The sequence below is a fragment of the Homo sapiens genome, chromosome 14 (assembly GCF_000001405.40).
Source record: "Homo sapiens chromosome 14, GRCh38.p14 Primary Assembly".
Taxonomy (NCBI): Eukaryota; Metazoa; Chordata; class Mammalia; order Primates; family Hominidae; genus Homo; species Homo sapiens.
Genome location: NC_000014.9, coordinates 46993373 through 47017695, shown reverse-complemented (window position 1 = coordinate 47017695; position 24323 = coordinate 46993373). Strand labels below are relative to the sequence as shown.

General features: G+C 32.7%; 1 protein-coding gene and 1 pseudogene across 9 annotated transcripts in view; one reads left to right on the top strand and one right to left on the bottom strand.

The window, feature by feature from the left end:
- MDGA2 (MAM domain containing glycosylphosphatidylinositol anchor 2) overlaps window positions 1-24323 on the top strand; it is an 835983-nt gene that overhangs the window by 657910 nt on the left and 153750 nt on the right. The window contains exon 9 of one of the 9 annotated variants that reach the window (XM_011536522.4): window positions 22969-23052. The exons of the other annotated variants lie outside the window; for them this stretch is intronic. Within the exon in view, the coding sequence (XP_011534824.1) occupies window positions 22969-23015 (47 nt within the window). The 3' untranslated portion in view covers window positions 23016-23052. The remainder of the gene's footprint in view (window positions 1-22968; window positions 23053-24323) is intronic. 9 annotated transcript variants of the gene reach the window in all.
- Window positions 19891-21317, bottom strand: RPA2P1 (replication protein A2 pseudogene 1; annotated as a pseudogene).

Here is a 24323-nt window from a genome sequence, read left to right as displayed (position 1 = left end):
ATAAATGAGGGCAATTTTTTTTAATCTGTATTTTTCAGCTTTATGTGGAATTTTAAAACAATTTTCTTAAGAAATCATGTGAATATTTTCTTGTATTTTTTCCCCCTGAATGTTGAAGATTGCGTATATTTATATAAATGTTCCTGCTCTGATTTCAGGGTTGGTTAAATCCTCAGACTGTGTCATACTTTGTTCCTCGACTCTTCTCATTTCCCTTTTTATGGCTCTATCTCTTTGTAGCTGGACATAATATAGAATTGGAATGTATTTTATTTCTTATTGTATGTATTTCCTACTCAGTTTAAATATCATTCAGTGGAATATTTTATATCTCTCACTAAAGACAGTACAAAAATAAAACTAGATTTAAATTTTCTTCTTCTTTTTTTTTTTTTTCAATGTGGGCCTTGATGAATTCTTTTTGACCCTCTGGGTCAGAGGCCCTTATGGAGCAATGCTTCCCTTTCTAGATCTAAAATAAAACCTGTCTCTATGGACAGCAAAGGAGCATGAAGTCAGGAAAATGTTTTCCTTTGATAAGCTTGAAAAGTCAATTTCAAGGATAAAGCACCTTGATAAAAGTCAATCAGACTAGATAAACACAAATGGAAACCAAGAGAAATAGAGACATAAATAGATATGCAATATCATATACTTTTCCTAAATAGGAAAGGAGGTTACACATAAAATGCAAGTATTTTGCAAGCTGGAAACACAACAAAACAGAAAATAAGATAGAATATGGAAAAAAATAATAAAAATGACTACGAATAAGAGATATAAAAATATTTTGAGCAAATGTTTTAGAGGCTTTTGCAGGTGAGTTGCATAAACGCTCCATAATTTCCTGTTAACTTGGATCTATACGAGGTGGATTAACAAAGAAAACAGAGTTTAGACTATTAATTTCATTTAATTTTTTGATTATGAATATATATTTACAATAAATAATAAACTTTGCTTTAAAACATACTCATGTTAGTTATATTCATTATGAATTTGTTTGGTAAAACATTTTCACAGTTCCAAAAGCTGTGTCCAAGTTGCATCATCATAGGTTTCAAATTAGTAGAGTAATAATGATGGTTTTGAGCTGTTTCCTCATATATGCATATTCAGAGTGAGTCACGGAAATTCATATGATCATAGCTTTTTCAGTGCATTTATTTTTTAAGTGTATATTTGGAAATACTTTTCATATAAAGTTATAACTTTATGTTGACTATACAAAGTGAAACATAAAGAACAAATTGTGAATGATAAAGAAATGATCTCAGCTAGTTTTCTTTGTTAATCTTAAAAACCTAGCAGACTTAAGGATGTAATATAATAACTGATACTACATTATTTGGGAAAATATTTGAAGTGCTATTAATGATTTAATGTAATTTGGACCTCATGTTATGAAGGACTTACTGTTACTCTTCAGAGCAATCCTATGAAGAATGCATACCTACTCACCATTTTTTAAATGGCTAAGCCATTAAAAACCATGCAAATATTGTAACTGAGTTGGCAATTGAATCAACTAAAAGAGATGGAATCCACAGGACAGCTTGCAGACTCTTTCAACCTAGATACTTGTAAAAAAATACAATTAAAGAAATAAGTTTTAAAATTTTTAAATATATTTTTGCCTGTATTCTAATAACATAGTTATGTCTCTACCAAATAAACAGACAAGCATTACCAGTAAAGTAATGCTTTACTGGTGCCACCTTAATGGTTAGTCTGGGTAACTACTTCCAAATGGTTTACCTTTTGCTTGATCATTATAACTCTCCAAATTCTTATTTCATTCTTTGTTTTTGTTTTTTACATCTGGGCTCCTTAGATTTCTGTAATTCTGCATTTTGGGGGTTTATTTTTTCTCCTCTCTAATTTTATCAGTATCTTTCTCAGACTTCTTATTTGGAAGCATATGTTACATTCTTGTTTTCACTTCCAAAGTCCTAGTTCAGACACTCCTTGGGTCTTGCTTACCCTTTCTTGAGTCCTGACTTCATTTTTGGATATTCTCTTTTCTTGGGATTCTGTGATTCTCATCCTCTTATGAATGAATTGCAAATCCTTTAGCCTTGGATTATTGGCACAACTTAATTGGCCTCAAGCCTTCCCAGTCATGACTTTTCCACACCTACTCTCCATTGCAGCCATAGATAGCTCAGTTTTCACTTCCCCATGTTTTCATATTGCCACCTTTTTGTTCATGTCTATTTGATTTACATTTCTCCTTCCTTTTTTTTTTTACCTGAAGATAGTTAGGAATATTTTGTTTTATTGTCCTTTACTTCTTTGACCTTTCACATACTGTGTTTTTTATAAATTGAAGGTTCGTTTCCAGCAAGTCTATGGTGCCATTTTTTTTTTTTTTAACAGCATGTGCTCACTTTATGTCTCCATGTCACATTTTGGTAATTCTTGCAATATTTCAAACTTTTTTATTATTATTATATCTGTAATGGTGATCTGTGAGCAGTGATCTTAGACATTATTATTTTAATTGTTTTGAGGTGCCATGAACCACACCCATAAAAGATAGCAAACTTAACTGTTAAATATTGTGTTCTGACTGCTTTACTGACTGGCTGTTCTCATGTCTTTCTTCCTCTCCTCCTTGGGTCTCCCTATTCACTGAGACACAACAATATTACAATTAGGCCAGTTAATAACCCTATAATGTCTTCTAAGTGTTCAAGTGAAAGGAAGAGTCTTACATCTCTCTTGTTAAATCAAAAGCTAAAAATGATTAAGCTTAGTGTGGAATGCATGTCAAAAGCTGAGAGGGTGAAAGCTAGGCCTTTTGCACCAGTTATCCAAGTTGTGGATGCAAAGGAAAATTCTTGAAGGAAACTAAAAGTGCTACTCCAGTGAACACCAGATGATAAGAAAGCAAAATGCTTTATTTCTGATATGGAGAAGGTTTTAGTGGTCTGGATAGAAGATCAAACCTGCCACAACATTGCATTAAACCAAAGCTTACTTGAGAACAAGAACCTAAATTCTCTTCAATTCTATGAAGGCTGAGAGAGGTGAAGAAACTGCAGAAGAACAGTTTGAAGCTAACACATGTTGGTTCATGAGGTTTAAGGTAAGAAGCCATCTCCATAACATAAAAAGTGCAAGGTGAAGCAGCGAGTCCTGATGTAGAAACTGCAGCAAGTTATCTGGAAGACTTAGCTAAAATCATTAGTGAAGGTGGCTAGCCCTAAACAACAGATTTTCAATGTAGACAAAACAGCCTTCTATTGAAAGAAAATGTCAGTAGGATTTTCATAGCAGGACAGAAATCAATGACTGGCTTCAAAACTTCAAAGGATAGGCTGAATCGCTTGTTAGGGGCTAATGTAGCTGGTGCATTTAAGTTGAAGCCAATGCTCATTTGCCATTTCAAAAATCCAAGGGCCTTTAAGAATCATGCTAAATCTACTCTGCCTGTGCTTCATAAATGCAACAACAAAGCTTGGATGGCAGCACATCTATTTACAGCATAGTTTATGGAATATTTTAAGCCCACTGATGAGACTTACTGTTCAAAATATTACTGCTCACTGACAATGCACCTGGTCACTCAATAACTCTGATAAAGATATACAAGGAGGGCCGGGGGCAGTGGCTCAAGCCTGTAATCTCAACACTTTGGGAGGACAAGGTGGGCAGATCACCTGAGGTCAGGAGTTCAAGACCAGCCTGGCCAACATGGTGAAACCCCATCTATACTAAAAACACAAAATTAGCTAGGCGTGGTGGTGCAGGCCTGTAATCCCAGGTACTTGGGTGGCTGAGGCAGGACAATGACTTGAACCCAGGAGGCGGAGGTGCAGTGAGCTGAGATCATACCATTGTACTCCATACTCCAGCCTGGGCAAAAAGAGCAACACTCTGTCAAAAAAAAAAAGGAGATATATATATATATATATATACAAGGAAATTAATGTTTTCATACCTAATAACACAACATCCATTCCGCAGCCCATGAATCCAGGAGTGATTTTGACTTTAAGTCTTATTATTTAAGTAATACATTTTATAAGGTTATAACTATCATAGGTAGTGGATCTTCTGATGAATCTGGGCAAAATAAATTAAAAACCTGGAAAGAATTCACCATTCTAGATGTCATTAAGAACATTCATAATTCATAAGAGGAGGTCAAAATATAAACATTAATAGGTGTTTGGAAGAAGTTGATTTCAACCCTTATGGAGGAGGGATTCAAGATTCCAGTGGAGAAAATAACTACAGAAATACTGGAAATAGCAAGAGAACTAGAATTAGAAGATAGAGCCCGAGGATGTGACTGAATTGCTGCAATCTCACGAAAGAACTTCAGTGGATGAAGAGTTGCTTCTTGTGGATAAGCAAAGAAAGTGGTTTCTTGAAATGGAATCTACTGCTAATGAAGATGCTATAAACATTGTTGAAATGACAACAAAAGATTTACAATATTACAAACTTCGTTGATTAAGCAGTGGTAGGGTTTCAAAGGATTGACTCCAATTTGAAGGAAGTTCTACCATGGGTAAAATGCTATCAAACACCAGACATGCTTCAGAGAATCCTGAATGAAAAGATGAGTTCATTGATGCAGCAAACTTCATTGTTTTCTTATTTTAAGAAATCGCCACAGGCCGGTGGTGGTTAACAACCACCATCCTGATCAGTCAGCAACCATCAACATCAAGGCAAGACACTTCAGCAAAAAGAGTACAACTCGATGAAGGCTTAGATGATCATTAGCATTTTTTTGCCTTAGGGTATTTTTAAATTAAGGCACGTACATTGTTTTTTTAGACTCAATGCTGTATAGACTGCAGTATAGTGTAAATGTAATTTTTATATGCACAGGGAAACCAAAAAAATTCGTGGCTTGCTCTTCTGCAATATTTGCTTATTGCAGTGCTCTGGAAATGAACTGCAGTATCTCAGAGGTATGCTTGTACATGCCAACTCTGTCAAGATATCTGTACTGAAACTTCCCACTGAAATATGACCTCCTGCTTCTACACCCAGGTTAACAAACATAACATCAGTAACAATGAAAACAGTATTTGTGGAACACTCACTTTATGCTAAACACTATAGTAAGTGCTTTATATGCACTATTTGGTTTAAACTTTAAGTCACTCTCCAAATGTACATGTATTTTTATTTGGTTTTGTGTTTATTTAAGCCTTCTATGTTACTTTCCTAACCTAGGAACTAAGCTTATTAAGTTTGTTAAAGCTAAAGTGGTGATTGATTTATCTTTGTATTTTCTGTTATAGACAGTTCAGTAGTTGACACTAAATTGGTATTTGAAAATGAACTATTAATAAAAAATTACTAAATGATATAATAAATCAGTGGAAAATGTTCACTCTGAGAATGCAGCACCTGAAGTGTATGTTTGAACTGATTTACCATTTGCATCATGGAGGTTGATTCAACTGACTATTTTACAGACAAGTCAAATCATTTTATGCAAACAAGTATATTCAGTTTATAGAGAAGAGATTTTTCAGGAGACATATGAGTGAATCTCTATCCTTTATACCAATCTTTGATTTTTAAATTAATTCACTTTTGCATTTTTTTCTCTGATCTTGTCATCATACACTATTTTAATTAATATAGTCCTGACATACATGGAGATTGAGGAAATCATCAAAATCTTAATGTAAAAAAATGTAAATGCCTAAAAGCTAACGATGACACAATTCAGGAAGGTGCTGATGACAATAGCACATACTCAACTGAACACTTTGACATTATGTTTCTTCTTTGCTGGTGAAGACTGAAATTAAGAAAAACAGCAAAGAGAGAACCTGAGAAAAAATGTATACGATTTCATTATTTCTACTTTTACATGACCTATGAAGTATATTATTGTTTTCCATGGGGGATATCAGAGCTATCTACATGCTGATATTCTCTACTTTCCTTTGGATCTCTTAATGTAGATTGTCCTAATTGTTATATAGTATCAGAAATAAACTGTAAAAAATAACCTGTATATATAAGAAGCAGCCTATTACAAATATGCATTTAACAGTGTCATTTTTTGTCAACATGTCATTAAATAAATTAAAAAATATATGCTAGAGTGTGAAACTAATAGACTCTACATATACAGTTAGTGGAATTTATGAAAAATTTATTTCTAGAACTCCCAGTGTACTGCTTTGAAACATGTTTTGATGAAACATTCTATGGGTAGAATTTATAGGTTCAACAGAACCACCCAACTGAACTTGTTACTTTTGCTTCTCAACATATGAGCAGAAAAGAGATTCATTAGATTATCTTATAAAAGTTCACTTATAAGGCATTTATTTAAATTTTAAATTTAAGAACATGCATTCACATAGAAAATAATGTGATGAATGGTATGTACATTCTTACGGCCAACCACAGATTTATGTAATGTTCATGAATTGTAGTAAGAACAATGTTATTCCAAGGTCATAGTTCTAATTTCATGCTATGTGGGAAGTCATTTTTTTTCTCCGAGCTCTAATTCCACAGTAGAGTGAGTTTTTGTGTGTTTGTTTGTATGTTTGTTTGCAATTGTTCTACTTTTCTTCTGATTATCTTTGCCCAGCTCCAAATTCACTTTTCCCTATGATGCTAAAAAGTTATCTACTTTCTTTATTCTCCAAAGTAAACTTCTAATCATTAACCTTAAATACTCTCTGTACATAAACATAATGTGAAGTATGAGTTAACAAAATAAAACGCCATTCTCTTACTGCAAATGGATATTAATGGAAAATAAATCTGATCTAATTAATTCATGTCCATCTGTCCATGACTTATATTTATTTAATTATAATGAGGTACCAAGTTTAATTAATACAGTATTTAGTTGGTTAACAAAAGGAAGCTAGACATTCAAAGCACTGAATGAGTTAGATGAAGACATTTCTATGCAATTGTTTATATTCAATGACTAGAAAAACTTAAATTTCACATTGTGTTAATTACATAGGTGGGGACACTTACCCATGTCATTAATGCAATGCAAAAAATTAATGACATTTTGTGGGGACACTTAGGCGAGTCAACAATACAATGCAAAATTTATGTGTTTTGCATTGTGTTAATGACTCCCCTAAATGTTCCCACCAAATATTTAAAGTGGGGTAGGAGACAAAACTGGGAAATAAAGATATAGTTATGAATTTAAATAATCAGTTTTATAATAGGCATAATTAAAGAAAAAAATGATTACTTTATTGGAATATGTCAGAAAGGTGAATAAGGTACCCATATGTTAACCAGGTAAGTCCACTAATATTTTACGTCAGAGTGTATACATTCAGCTTTAATAAATTAGAATTTTATGTTATTTTTTTATATCTATTTTTTTCCTAAGATCTTAAATCCTTATCTGATTACCTTTAAGCTAGCACTTAGATTATCTCTAAGATTTCTTTGGATCAGTTCAAAAAGCATCTATTGACTATTTGCATGCCAGCAATTGGACTAAGTGCTGAGGATCCAAAGATTATTATGATCTAATTTCTATCCTTACACAATTTCCAACTGTCCAGGAAGTCAGAAATATACATGGATCATTTCCATGCCAGTCAGTAAAGGCAAAGATGCCACAGGGACTTGATGTTACAAGATCATTAATGGAGGAAGATTCAATCCTACATAGTAGAAGGAGTAATCAGAACTCTTCCGTAAGGTGTTGTCTAAATTGAGTTTTGAAAGATGATCAGACTTAATAGGTTGGGAAAGGGGGGTAAGGGACAGAGAAACCAGCATGCATGAAGATTCAGAGGGCTAGAAATAGCATGATGTATATGGATGACAGAGATAGGCTGATCATTTGTAGAATGAAAATTAAAGATAGAAAAGGCACAGCTCGGACGCAAGGGGTGTGTAGGGATCAAGTTACGGAATGCTAAAGTGTTGTCTGTCTCTTCCTGCTGCTGCCCTCTTTCCCTGAGAAACTAAAAGTTCAAAATTCTTACCTACATCTAATCTGATTCAGTAAGTATGTCCAATTGAGGAAATTAAATGCACTGCCTCACTGGGAGAAGACAGAATGACAATTTAGTGTTGTATACATAGTGTTCATTCATTGTGTCACATTGACCATAAAAAAGTAATTCTCACATCCTAGTTGCTATAGATCTGCCTTTTTCCCCTTTGAGTTTGTATTGCTGATAGAACTTAAATGTGCTTGGTTAGAGAAAAGTGGATACTGATTAAATTTTAATAATTGGGAACCAGAGGGCTAGGCCAGATAGCATGTCAGGATTCCATAATTAGGTAATGAGGTAAAAAAGTTTCAGGTAATCTGATTTGCAAAGAGTTGTCAAATTGAAATCAGCTGCATTTATGTTTTATTCTCATAATAGTTATCTTAGGAGAAACTATAGCATATTAAATTGGCTAACTTTTTTAGAACATCTAATCACTGTATTTGAGTATTTCTATCATGTATTATTGCTTTAATGTTTATTCCAGAGAGTAGAATAAATTTATATATAAGCAAAAAACTTATTGTAGTACCAACTTGATTTATGTGGAAAATGTGAACTAAACTATAGGACTATTTGGAGTGCTATACTGTACCATTTTATTTATCTATCGAATGAGTGCTACATTACATTGCACTGCTTAATTAAATATCGTAAACCTGGTGATACTCACTAGGAACAAATACACATTATTTTATTTATGAGTTGGGCAATGGGAATATTTTCTTGTACTTCCATGCTCTTATTTTAAAAATAGAAAGAAAGGATAATCACTTAATTTGCTGAGTAAGATTTAATGATTGAACAGCTAAGATGTGCTCAGGGAGAAATAAACATTTGAATGAATTTTTTAAATAAGGACCTTACCTATTTTTAAATAGCATAAATATTATTGCAAAAATAAATAAAAATACTGGAGTGTGAGATCTGATAGAATGATTGTTAATTATATGTATAAAGCATTTTAATTTTTAAAAACCCCTCCAAGCACATTATTTTAACTGTACTTCCAGGGCAGATATTTTATAGACAATGACGTTATAGCTTAAAAGTTTAAGTGACTTAACTAAATCACACACCTGATTAGTGACAGAACTGGGGCCAAAATTTCTAGAGCAGTGCCATTTCATCCCATTCTGTCAAATCCCATAAAGGATTTAAATATTTAAGTCTGTCTAAAATAGCTTTGCTGGGCAGAAATGTAAAATATATCATGCTTCTTAACTGTAGAAACCAAGGGATATCAGTCTTAGAAATTGCAGCTTATTTAGCAAGGTGGTCCAGGGAATATTTGGTTTCAAAGACTTACTGCCTTATGCCAGATATATTGTTTAGCTGCTTGTATGAGCCAATTAGGAGAACAATAACATTAGGCATTGGCTTGTTCTGCCAACACTACCTGTTAGGAATCGTTTTATCCACCTTTAGCTTTGAAATTGTATTTACCCTTTATGCTTTTGTTTTTCTCATAGTATCTTTGCCCTTCTTCATATTTACTCGGAGGACCTCTGAAACGTTTTTTGTTTCTCTAACATACACATTTCTAAAACATAGGTCCCCTGGTCCACATAATTTATATATAGAATGAGACTCAGTATATATTTATCCATTATGGAATATTCAAACTCATGGTTATCCAGTAGTTCACTACTGGTTACCATTTGATGCTTAGTAAACTCAAAAGTAGAATTGTAGAAACAAATAAAGGTCACAAATGAAACAAATGCATTTGGAAATTGCATGCTTTCCAAAATAATTTTTATCATTACGATACACTCTGTGCTCATTTTATTTTCTTAGATCATAATTGGAAATGAATATACTTGAGTATTTTAGAATTTGTTCCACTCAAATTTAATATAATTCTAGCAAAGGAAACAACTCATGGCATTAAAATGAGTATCGCTTACATGAGAGGCAAAACAATCTGATACACATTTATATCAGTAAACAGATAATTGAGGGACAAGAGAAATGATTGGGTGATCATTGAAAAGTATCAGTACTTTTGCACTGTATTTAATTTTCCTACCTATCTTCTTTAATTTTCTAATCTTGGAGGAAAAACAAATTGACCTTCTCTAATCATTGTTACATTCTAAACAGGCTACGTAAAGTTTTATTCCTTACTTCTCAAAGTAGCAAGGTCATGTTCACGGTGTCTTCATTTAGTTATCTGTGTTCATCTCACACCTAAGGAGATACGGTAAAATTTTAATGTATACTAAAATAGCCTTTATGAGTAGGTGTATGGTGAGCACTTTCCAACAATCAGACTCGTTCTTGTTACCTTCACTTACCAGATGCATGAAACCCTACAGCAAACATATCAAGCCATGGTGGACACCCAACATGAAATCTCAAACTTCAATTCATTAAGTAGAATCAATGTGAAAAATTGTAGGGCAGCAATTTATGACTGAATGTTTGGATTTTTTTCCTTAAGCATTTGTATTTGATATTTATTACTCTGCTTGTTCAATACATAACATTATTCACCATCAGGTATCTCTGTTCATTAGTCCATCATTTCTCTAAAAATCTTGACCCAGAAGTGGAGATTAAACCACAAGACCAGATTATCACTCTTATATGATACAAATTCCATATGAAGTCCTCAATGTATCCTCCATGGATGTTACCACAGTTTATCAGTTACCTGGAACTTGGAACTTTTAAAACGAAATATTCTTAAAGTTTCTTGGTATGTACATAAATTTGTGGAGGTAATGAGTTGCAATGAGAAAGAACATTGCTTAAATTAGCTTTCAAAAAGTTTATCTAAGTCTCCAGCCTGCTCCAGGACAATAATAGTCTGTTAATACTATTCTCCGAGAATAATGCATACTTTTCTGTTTTACATCTACCTAGCTAAAATGAGAGACCTAGGGGGTTATTTTATGACACAGGAACTCTGTTTAAAGATCAGTTTGCATCTTGCCTTTTAAAGGAAAAAAGCAAATTTTAAATGGAATTCTTATAGCTTAAAAAATAATAGAAAATAAAAGTTCAATGTCCATTTCCTCATCAGCTGGTACTCCAAACAAGTCAATGCTGAGAAAGAACTAAATAATAGACATCATCAGCTTCCCTAATATGGAGGATTAAAGGCATTTTCCTTTTCTTATTGTACACTTGATTTATATTATTTAAGTTATCTGATATGATATAATAGTTGACTGGGTGCTCACAAATTCACATTTTATATTCAAACTGGAATTCTGTTCACTCTTTATGTTATTAATGATATTTTATATATTTTAAAATTATAATTATAATTAAAACATATACATATAATATAATTATAAATATAATTTTAATTATATAATTATAATTATAATATTTTTAATATATGTTGTAGTGAACCACTTTTACATCTGTTTTTGTGAAATGGAGACAACGTTATTTCAAATTTAGCTACTGTAAACATTAATACCACAAGATTCTGAAAACAACATGAGACAAAATGAATTGCATCTTGACAGCTGAAAGATACCTGAGATTAACTGACCATAATAGTCCTTGCAATGTATGCTCAACACTTGAAATAAAATAATTATTATTAACAAAATTTTTTTGAAAACAATTCCTAATCATACATTTCAAATTGGTAAACAGAGGTGAAATAGTTGAACTTACTGTTATGTTCCAGGAACAACCATGTTTACTGATGACCACAACATAGGACTCCAGATAAACTAGTGGTTCTCAGAAAACATTCTGAAAAGTGTAATCCTCTGACAATCAGCTTAAAGTGCCGACAGCATCCATTTATAATTGCAGAATATTATAATACAGTTGTTAATTTTTAAAAAAATTTTAACAATAGATTTGCATAGTTTTAAAAATACTACACGTGGCTTATAAAACATACAATCAATGTTTAAGTATACAAATAAAAATATAGACAAAGCATCATAATTCTTACCACCCAGCAGTTAGTATCAATAGCATTAGATTGGTATCAATATACATATAGGGAGATGAAAAATAGAAAAATAACTGTATAAAATTTTAATATCAAAATTAGGTCATATTATACACATTTTTTCAGAAAACCAAAGTGTAGAGAGTACTTCCCAAATCATTCAATTATGCCAACATTATTCAGATATATAAAAAAGTAAATAACCATACAAGAATGTAAAAAAATCCCTACCAACCAAAATCCTTCATGAACATGGACATGAAAATTCTAAACAAAACTTTAGTAACTGAATCAAGCAATATATAAAAATGATAATACATTATGATGATGCAGAGTTTATGCTGAGAATATGAAGTTGGTTTAACACTCAACAGTTAAGCAATATAATTCATCATGTTAATAAACTGAAGAAAAAAATCCGTATGCTTCTTTCAATAAGTGCCCCCAAAATTTGTTGAAATCCAACAACAGTTCCTGGAGAACAAAAACAACAACAAAAACCTCTTAGATAACTAGACATAGAAGGGAACTTGCTAAGCCTGATAAAACTAAATACCAAAATCCTAGTTAACATCATATTCTATGATAAAAGACTGAATGCTTTCATCTAAGTTAGGAAAAGGCAAGGATGTCTTCCCTTATTATTTCTATTCATTAACCTACTAGAGGTTCTAGCTATTACAATAAGACAAGGAAAAAACATAAATCGCATCAATATTGCAAAGAAATAAACTGTCTTTATTCACAGATGATCTTATCATCTATGTAAATAATACAATGGAATCTACAAAAGATACTAGAGCTAATAAATGAGTTCAACAAGGTTGCAGAATAAGATATCAATATACAAAAATTAATTGTAATTCACCCCATATCTTCTGTTTATCTTCTATATATGACCAAAGAATAAACAGAATTTAGAATTAGGAAAGAATACCATTTTAAAAACATTTAAAATGTGATGCTGTATGATTGTCAGGGAAAAATCTGTGAAAAGATGTGAAAGACCTGCACACTAAAAGCTATAAAATACTGCTGAGAGAAAAACATTAACAAAGACCTAAATAAATGGAGAGATATGAGTTATTCGCAAATTGTGATATTCAATATTGTTTTTAATACTCCTCAATTGAATCTATATTTTCAAAACAAGCTCATTTGAAATTCTAGAAGTTTTCTTTGTGTTTTTGGATTTTGGTGTGGCAAAAGTTGACAAGTTAATTCTAAAATTTAGATGGAAATATAAGGGAACAACTATGGCCAGAGTAATTTGGAAAGGAACAACAAAGTTGGGTGACTAACACTATCTGATGGCTTATTGCAAAAATAGAATGTGGTCTTGGAATAGATGGACTTAGATTAATGGAACAGAATAGAGATCCATAAATAAACCCATATATATGTGGATATATATGGTTATTACAAAAAATGCTAAGGCAATTTAGCTGAGAAAGGATAGTGTTTTAAACAAATTATACAATAACAGTTGGATTTCCATACACCAAAAAGTGAACTTTGGTCCACCTATTGATCTATATACAAAAGTTGACACAAAATTTATCATTAATTTGTATTTCTCTGATGACTAATAATGTTGAGTATCTTCCGTGTAATTATTAGTTATCCATATATCTTTATTGGTTAAGTGTCAATTCAAATTTTATCTATTTTTAAGCCATTGTTTCATTATGCAGTTCTGAAACACCTTTACATATTCTGAATATATATCTTTCATTAAATGTATACTTTGCAAATGTTTTCTCACAGTCTGTAGCTTGTATTTTCATTCTTCTAAGTGTCTTTCAACAGAAGTTGTTTTATTTTTAATTTTGATACAGTCTAATTTATCATTTCTTTTATAAATTCTGTTTTGGGCATTGTATCTAAGAAATCTTTGCTTAATCTGAGGTCACAAATATTTTCTTCTATAAGCTTTATGATTTCATAATTTCTTAAATGTAGCACCCAAAATGCAATCCACAAAAGAAATAAATAATAAATTAGACACTACAGAATAAATGCCATAAACTTCTGCTGTTTGAAAGATACTGATAAAAGAATGAAAAGACAAGCCATGGTTTGGAATAAAATATTTGCAAATTTAGAATATGTAAAGAATTTTCAAAACTCAGTGATGAGAAAATTATAAAAAAAATGAGCAATATAGACACTTCATCAGAGAAGATATATGGATGGCAAATAATCACCAGAATGAGTACTCAACATTATTACTCATCAGAGAAATGCAATTCAAACCACAGTGAGATACCACTACCCGCTTATTAGGATGGCTGATATTAAAAAGACTAGCCATACTAAGTCCTGGAGGGTATGAATAGGCGATGGAACTTAACATGCTCTGCTGTTGAAGAATGTAAAAGGGTACAAACCATTGTGGCAAACAGTGTGGTAGGTTTTTTTTTTCATTTTGTTTTGGAATTAAACATTCACTTATTATAATCCACATCTAGGTATTTACCAGTGAAAAATGAAGCCATAAGTCTACTTAACAACTTACACACAAAGGTACATAGCATCTTTGGTTGTGATAGTCAAAAGCTGGCAACAACTCAAATGTCCACAAATAGATGAAGGAAACAAACTTCAATCATGGACACACGCAACAACACATATGAATCTCAAAATAGTTATTCTTCATGGAAGAAGCCAGCTTTTTTTAGAAAAGTACATATGGTCTGATTCAAGTTGCATTAATTCTAGAAAATGCAAACTAATGTACGGTGAGAGAGAGTAGATCATTTCTTGTCTGGGGACAAGGTGAGGAGGAAGGATTGAAAGGAATGGATTACCAAGGAGCATGAAGAAACTTGGGGTTGATGGACATGTTCTCTAACTTAATTGTGGTGATAGCTTCACAGGTTTGTCAAAGTATATGTCAGTAATTATCAAATTACACACTTACATATGTGTAGTTTATTTTTTGTCAATTATACCTCAACAAAGCTAAGACAGACTTACACAAAATGCATATATTTATCTAAAAATATCATTAATTTATCAAATATGTTAAATTCAAGTATAAATAAATTAAATTTTTTTTTTTAGATAGAGTCTTGCTCTGTTGCCTAGGCTGGAGTGCAACGGTGTAATCTCGACTCACTGCAACCTCCACCTCCTGGGTTCAAGCAATTCTCCTACCTCAGCCTCCCAAGTAGCTGGGATTACAGACATGCACCACAATGCCTGGCTAATTTTTTTTCTGTTTATTAGAGACAGGGTTTTGCCATATTGGTCAGGCTGGTCTTGAACTCCTGACCTCAGGTGATCCACCCACCTTGGCCTCCCAAAGTGCTGGGATTACAGGCGTGAGCCACTGTGCCTGGCCTAAAAATTTTTAATGTAAGAGATAAGTTATTGAATTTCTTAATCCATCAGGAATATTTATTTCCCACAACAGATATTTTGTCCTAAACCATTTCTCTAAACTTAAAAAAAGAAATTATGAGAAAAATTAAGACACATAAACCATTATATATTTTTAACAGTATATAGGACTTCAGACCATATTCATGAATTTAAGCCTTCTTATTCTTTATTCAATCTGATTTTCTATCCTTGTTTTTGTAAGTTTTGTTACTAGTTTTACATTGGGAAGGTTTATGAAATTTACATTGTTTTATAATTATTATTTTTTAAATTTAGTGTTAGTCTAATATTTGCATTACATTAATTTAGTGCCCACCAGTCCTGTTTACTCAGCACCTCTCCATTCCCAGCATCTTCAATTCAGTTGCCCCCACTCCACAACCTGGAGATAACAGATACAATATATTTTGCCTTTAAAAATATGTAGTTGAGAATCTTAATTCTTGCTTTCATAGCTTAGCAACATTTTGGCTGGAGATCTCTCTTGCCTGTGCTCTCCCTCTCCCTCCCCACTCCATTGATTATTGCTGTGAAAATGTCTAGAATGTATATACCACCACTGCTGCTACCAATACTTCTCCCAGGCAATTTATTCTGTCCGTGTGAATTGCTGAAGAACTATGTCTTATAACCTTGCATTTCAGTAACCTAACCAGGATATGTACCAGTGTTGAGTATTATACATCATTTTGTTTTTCTCTTGGGGTAATGTGGATTCTTTATTTTAAGAAAAAAAATTACATTTTGTGTAGTTTGCAGTTTCATTTGTTCAGGTCACTACCTCAGGAATACTTTATTTTTGTATTGAATAGTGTTTGATTTCTCCATTTATTAGTTCCTTTCTTATTTGAAAAGTCTCTTTCTTTTCCTATATGCATGTATCCTGGTTACATCAAATCTTTCTACCATGTTAGTAACAACTTTCAGCCACATAAGTTTTGTTCCCTTTTGTTTCTAATTTATCTTCTTGGTTGTTTTGGTCCTCGAATTGTTTTCATAGTGCTTAGTGTTTCTTTTCATCCTGTTTTGTTGCTTTAACTCCTCGTTTATGAACACCTATTTTACAGAACTCAATTTCTTATTAAGATATCCTATTTCACAGAGCACTTATGTAAAATTTTCTTCCATTCCTTCAATTGTGATTTTTTTTTATTCAGCTGGATTTCTTGTCTATATTTGTACGTCATATTCCTTTTCTTTTTAAAATTTGCTTATATTTTGTATTCCTAACCTGGCTGCATAAATGGCTTGAAATTTTTTCCATCTTGTTCCTGATTTGACAGGTTAAAAGAGACAATTTACTTGCTGTGATATAATGCAATTGACTTCCTGACTGTAGTTCCACTGTTTCCTCCCCTAGTTTAGTGTTCGAAGTCTGAGTATTTTATGTTCTGTCCACATCTTGGGCTGATGATGTAGTATTTTTTTCTCACCTAAAATACTTTGATAAGCTAACCTATTTTCTTTGTGTGTCATATTGAAATAATATGTAGTTTTCTTAGTTTTAGAATCAAACTATGCTTACTTTAATAATCAAAGAATTACTTAGGTTTTAAATGGTATTATTTTCTTCTCTATGTTGATACTTGAAGGAACATTATCTCTGAAAAGTCAAATATTCAAAGTGTAGCTTCCTTTGCATGCTAAAACACCACGATTATGAATCTAAGCTATTCAGTTCTCTTCCCAGGTCTGCTGCAACCTTAGGCAATTTACTTAACTGCCCTATACCTAATATTTGAACTTATGGATTACAAAGGCCTAAAAGATCTCAAAAACTTTTGTTTTATATTGGATCCTAAAACTTTATAATCATTCTATGCCATTTGCTTATAAATTTGGGAGTTAAACTTCCTCTTATATTTAAATATCATGATATAATAGCCAACAATGCACAGTTAGCAATTTAACTTACAAAGATCTTGCAACCTGTTATACATATATATATTTATATATATATTTATATGTATATATATTTATATGTGTATATATATAAATATATATTTATATATAAATATATATATATAAATATATATATACATATATATGTGTGTGTATATATATATATATAAATATATATATATACTCACAGCTGTCTGGAACCTAAGCAAGAAAGCTATTATTATCCTTAGAGCAGTTACATGCTTTGAAGTCAGGCTTTCTACCCTTTAAATTCCTTGTGTATTAAATAGATATAATTATGTCTAACTCACAGTGTTGTGAGAATTAAATATATCTGGCATATAGTAAGTATCAGATAAATGGCAACCACTAATATTCATGTAACTTTTTAGCTATAATATTTTTATTTTTATACATATAATTGCAGTTTTTTTTAGGCAAGATAACTAAAAGTTGTAAAGGGTAAATGACTTGTAAAATGTGTGCAGCTATCAAAGGACAATGCTGGTATTTCAATCCAGGTGATTCACTTCAAACTTCACCATAATTAAATACTATGTGTTACATCTAATGAGCATGTATCATTCTTGTGAAAGCCAACCCCTTAGACATGTGTGAAGGTAGACAGAGCAGATGATCTTACATGTCCTAATTTGTTAGGTATGTGTGCCCTTCCAGGCTATTTCTTCATCAATTGAAATATTAGTCAGGATGATTCAAAATTTCAGAATGAAGTTTGATACCCACAAAGATAATCCAGAGAAAAGGGGGTGGAGGAGTGCCTTCTTTTTGGTTTCCAAGCTGTCAGACGAGGGAAGATATGGCTGCCCTTGTTTCCTTACAGCCCCCTTCTTTCTTAGTCAATACTTTAAATATTTAAATAATGATGGATTCATGTTTATTCAGTTATACTTATGACAGTAAGTTTACCTCACTGCAAATACATCTATCAATAAATTGCAAAGAGGAATATCAGGGGAAAATTTTTTCTACTCTTCAATTACAGTGCAAAAAATATATTTTCTTTTTGAGATATTGCACTTCATTTAGAATCTAGTAATTTTGTGCCTATTTGGGCTAGTAATGATGAATCTAGTTTTGCAATACCTTTCCAAACACTTGACCTTAATTTAAAAACCAATCAATAGTGTCTGCAAATACTGCTTTTTTGCTAGTGCTTATGATCTCAAGAATTGGAAAAAAAGATTTTTTTTTAAATTTATTACCTTAATTACATTTTTTAGCATTATATTGTAAAATAGGTGGACTGCATTGCTTTACAGCTTTTTTTTTTACCTGCTGTGACAACAGTAGAATTTTTGCCTTCTGATTCCACAATTTATACTTAAATCGTATTTTAAGGTGCTGTATTTTAAATTTGACTAAAAAAGTCAACACTATTGATTGGTGAATAAAAATAATAATAGCCAGTGTATGCCAGAGATAATATTTTTCATCTACTGTATTCCATTCTGCATTTCTATTTCACTTTATCATTTTATTGACAAGTAATTTAGTGAACAGTGGATTGTTTCCTACTGGGAAGGGTAGGTTCCTGAGATTTCTTATGATAGAACAATTTGTAGTTGAACAACTTAACATTATATAGGAAAAACAGAGCAAGGGAAATTAAGGTTAGAAATGAAGGCATCAAATTCCTTGTCCAATTTGTAAGTACCTTGAATAAGATAAAAGTTGACCCACTAATTAAGATTATATAAATAAAATCATACACATATTTAGTTAATAATGATGGGTAGTGGATAATTAGTGTTCATTTAGTATTCACAATTGGCAACATAAACTTTAAAATTCTCTGAGAGGTTTGAAAAATGATTTTAATTATTTTTATTTTGCAAAGAATAGCTATACTAAAAAGAATTTTGTACGAGTATCAGACTTTCCACGAGCTTTTCTCATTTTGTTACTCAGTCTTATTGGCTTTCAACTTCTGGATCTCATACTGGATTCAGAAATGCAAAAGAGCTTGATATTGGAGTTTTAAAATTAAATACAGAAGTTTATGTAACCTTTATTTAGCCTACTTAGCTTTATTAAACATGTCCAGATAATATATTTCTAAACTTTCCTCTAATACGTATGTTTATATAACCCTAGGTTTCTCAAGATAGCTTCATTAGCTCCACCCTTCTTACAGTTGACTTGGTTTCCTCACTCTTCATAGACAGATAAATTATTATTTTTTCTTTTCATCTGTTTTTATAGAGACTGGATCTCACCATGTTGCCCAGGCTAGTCTCAAACTCGTGGGATCAAGCAATCCTCCTGCCTTGGCCTCCCAAAGTTCTGGAATTTTAGGTGTGAGCCACCATGCCTGGTCTAGATAAATTATTTTCTAAGCCCTATGATATTTCACTTCATTTCCCTTTTCTTCTTCAGGGCTCTTCAAAAATAACTCTTTTTTCCTTCTCTTCCATCTATTTCTTTGTCTAAATGTCTGACTCTTGTTTCTTATTTTTTTTCTGATGATATTCAATAAGGATTATTCAAAAGTCTTCAAATAACAAAATCACCATTGGCCTTTAAACTTAAAGTGTCTACAGAAGTTTTGATTGTTGATGATTTTGAAATCAGTCACACACAAAACTTGTTCACTCTACTTCCTTCCCATTATAATAGAATTTCATTAGTAATACTCATAAATTTAACAAACATTTTATCTTCTCTTTTGCATTTTTTTACAATACAACAGTTTTATTAAGCATGTGAATGCACTTATTTGGTACAAAATGTAGTCACATTTCTTCCTCTCCTCTGCCCCTTGAGGCCACCTCTCCAGAACCTTATGTTCCTATAAATGCATTTTTGGCAGCAGTAACAACAAAAAAGTGAAAGAAAATGCAATTCTGACAGTAATGCTAAATAACCAAAGTGGGAAACACAAATAGGCAGGGGTTAGTGGGTTTCTTAGCTAGCTCTTTAACCACGGGCCTTAGTACTGCTCATTTTAAGGAAACATTTTAAGAATAACAAACCCCCAAATGTTATTTAAGTAATACTGCTTACCTCTGTTGGTGGCACTTTTCTTCCATCTAACCTGATGTTATAACAAGCTTATTTGTAATTTCTTCGGGAAATTCTGCCCTAGTATATACATCTCTATCAATCTCCTTTGAGCTTAAAAAAGTCAAGAAGCAAAAACAGAAGACTAGGCAATTTCATAAGGATGCCAACTGAAACTTTCATGAGACCTACTTCTTAGAAGTCAACTGGCCAAATATATACACAGCTGTAGCCAATGGATTCTGAAAACAGATCCTGCTGGAAAATATCTCCAATACCCAATTAAATCTAGTTATTTGTGTCTATAGATTTTAAATGATCATCATTCACAGTGGGATAAATGTATCCCTGTATTCTAAGAAAAATTCACAGCTTCCTTTATTGAGGCTACAGATGTGTTGGAGCTGTTTCTTAAGATCCTGAAAGCTCAATCTTTCAAACCTTGGGCAAACCTTAATCAAATCCAACACCTAGTTTTTGGCCACTGTAAAGCTATTTCCTGGCATGAAGCTATTCCCACCAAAGTTCCCTACTTCACCCATTCCTGGGTTGCTGCTAGGTGCTCTCCCTTGCTGTTAGATTTGCTCAGTATCATATGCATTGGCTACTTCCAGAATATGTGTGGAAAGCTCATTCATATCCTTGAGGGGCATGATGTTAAAAGCTACTAGGCTCTTTTTGTTCTGAAAAGATCTCAGATGGCCATCACTTTCCCATATGTTTTTGAAGGAACCACAGTGTGGTTACCACTGACACTGTCTGCATTAAATCACTGGTGAGCCCCTATTGATGCAACTGTTGTGTCATCCATTTCATCAACAATATTGGCTGGAGTCCTCTCTGCAATATCTAATTATCTCCACAGTATTGATTTGAGAAATCTCAGCATTCCAAATTTTGAATATTTCACCAACAAGAATGGCAAAAAGACGCTGAGATCTGGTACAGAGTACAATGTTCTGGGCTTGGGCTCTTGATTTTTTTTCTGAGACGACGTCAGTGTTCCAAAGCCCCAGAGGACTCTGCACAACCACTGGCTCTTCCATAGCTGGAGTAGCCATGGATTTCCAATGCACTATTCCACATCTTGGTTGTGGTTCCCTCAGGAAAGAGGCCCAGAAGGCTTAGGTCTGGTGGGTTTCCAAGACACCTCAGAACCCTGTTGCTCCTGCAGCAGTCTACCTTTCACTGGTTTTCCTTGGCATTTTGGATACGAACAATGTTGAGTAGAGATTTAGAAAGATAATTCAAGTATGTAAGAATTTAATTTCCTATCAGCAGAAATTTAGTGCTCTTTGAAAGCAATGGCAAAACTTAGACAATAAAAAGCTTTTCCTAAAACCTATAAAAATAGTGGCACTTATCTCATATCTCCCAGGATGCTGCTTAAGGACTTTACAAAACTCTTAACATAAACTTACCATTTTCCTCCTTTTATGACCACAGGCTTAGAAGTGAGTAGACACTGGATGGATATAGACCACTGGATATAGACCAGTGCTTTTTTTTAAATGTAAAAAATGAAATGCGGTCTTCATTTTTTTCAACCAACTGAATTAAACATGTCACCTTTACACAAAATATATTATATAATATACAGAATTTAAGAAATTTGTTGTTTAACTTGCTTTAATTCTAAATATTTTTATCCTGTTAGACGAATAAGAAATAATTTTATATTAAAGAAATGAATATAAATGTTTATTATTGTATTACAAACATTTGATAATTTTCTTATACTAATCTTTTCCTTATTTTAAGTGTGTGAACTGATTTTTCATATTTATAAAAGTATATTGAAGAAGTTTCTGCTGAAAATACTTTGATATAAATATTATCAAATGAAACATTAAAACATTCAGAACAACTGGCAAGACTTATTTTCTTATAATGGATTCAGCAAAATGTATAGTCAAAAAAAAAGCAATGGTTATGAAATAGTTTAAACACATTGATTACCTGTCAAAAATGACAAATTAATTTAGAAATTGTAATTCATTAACTTCCTAAAATGTAATTAATTTAAATTCTGCCATATTTATTTAACACAAAGCAGTGTGCTAGGTCCAGTCTTTCAACCTTTAATTTATATTATCAGTAGTTCTTAAACTTTGGTCTGCAACAGTACTATCTAGGAGCTTGTTAAAATGCAGAAACTCAGGATTCTGCCCAGTCTATCAATTTGGGATAGCATGAATTAGGATCTGAAAATCAAAAAACTCCCTAATTGGTTCTAATGGACATTGATGTGATAGCCAGTAATAGTAATTTAGTATAACAAAATGGAATTAAGGTAAATAGAAATAATTTTTGTTTTGTTTTACTTAAATTGTTTTTTGATGCCTCAAATCCTTTTCATAAAATATTTATCGCCATCTCTGATCAGAGAAATGCTATTTTACTCATTAAATTTTAGATGTATGATTTTACTCTGTACTAAACAAGATAAACTTAGAATTCAGAATTCCAAATTTTTTATTTTAATATTGGTATTGACCAATATGGGTGTATCCACAAGAATGATACTTGTGGATAAAGTAATGAGCAAGGTCTGAAAATGATGTCTTCAGAAAACTGATTAAAGGAGCTATCCTTTGTGTTTTAAAAAAGGAACACAGTATAAGGAATTATATTTAATTGCATTTCCACTACCCTATGTTATTACCTTTTCATCAAGACAAACAATTAATGATTTAATATTTTCAATTTTAGAAGCTTTATACTTAAGGGTGTTTTGCTCTTATATTTAAGGCTGTTTTGCATCAACACTTGAATTGACTATTAAAATCCATTTATAGTGCAAGAGGCATGAGAGGAAGTAACGTGGCACTGACAGTAAGTTATTAAAATATATTTATTAATCTACGGTTTGGTCTGTTGATGTTCATTTTTATGTGTGGACTGAGTTTCTGTGTTTATGTATTTGAGTGTTTTGAGTGTGTGTGTGTGTGTGTGTGTGTGTGTTTGTATGTGTGCATGTTTGCCTTTTAGTTAATTTGTCATCCAAGCACTTCTGCCCAGGAGTTAGTCCAGCTGCAAAGCTTGAGGACACAATCCTTTGCAGACTGTCTTCACTCCTGACACCAATTGCAGTCCTGAAGGTCACTGTTAGGTTTGATAACTTGTTAGAAGGACTCAGAATTCATTGAAAGCAACTGTACTTAAAGTTACAGATTATTGTAGGGAAGAATACAGACTAAAATCAGCCAAAGGAAGAGTCATATAGGGCAGAGCTTGGTAGGGTTCCGAGTGTGAGGCTTCCATCCTTTTTCTGGTGGAAGCAGGATGGGCATTACCTTCCGAGCACTGATTTGTGACAATATGCGCAGAGTATTGCCAACAAGTAAAACTTATTCAAGCCTCTGTGTTCAGATATTTCTTTAAAGGTCCATTATATAGGTATGATTGATTGATCGATTACCCCGTGGTTGAACTCAGGTCAACTGATATGGTCTGACCCAAAGCCTCCTCCCTAAATCACATGGATGGTTCTTCTGGCATGTCTGTGCTACAACCTAAGATTGTTGGGTGTGACCAGTTCCCAACCTAAGCAAAGACACTTGTATCACGTATAACATGGACACCTCCCAGAAGCTGAATACAAAGGCAATACCTTTCTTTGGGCAAGACAAAATCTTATACTACATAGTTTTATAAAGCAGAAAGATTAAATAAAAAGATAGCCAGTATGGATCCTAGTATATAAGAACAACATAGGGGCCAGGTGCAGTGGCTCACGCCTGTAATCCGAACACTCTGGGAGGCCGAGATTGGCGGATCGGTTGAGACCAGGAGTTCAAGACCAGCCTGGCCAACATGGTGAAACCCGTCTCTACTGAAAATACAAAAATTAGCTGGGCGTGGTGGCATGCACCTGTAATCCCAGATACTCGGGAGGCTGATGCAAGAGAATCTCTTGAACTCGGGAGGCATAGGTTGTAGTGAACTGAGATTACACCACTGCACTCCAGCCTGGGCCACAGAGCAACACTCTGTGTCAGAAAAAAAAAAGTCCCCCCCAAAAAAATAGAAAAAAAGTGATAATTTTGTAAAATGTATAATAAGTATTATTTATCATCAGTGGTGTAAATGTTCAGGATTTATAA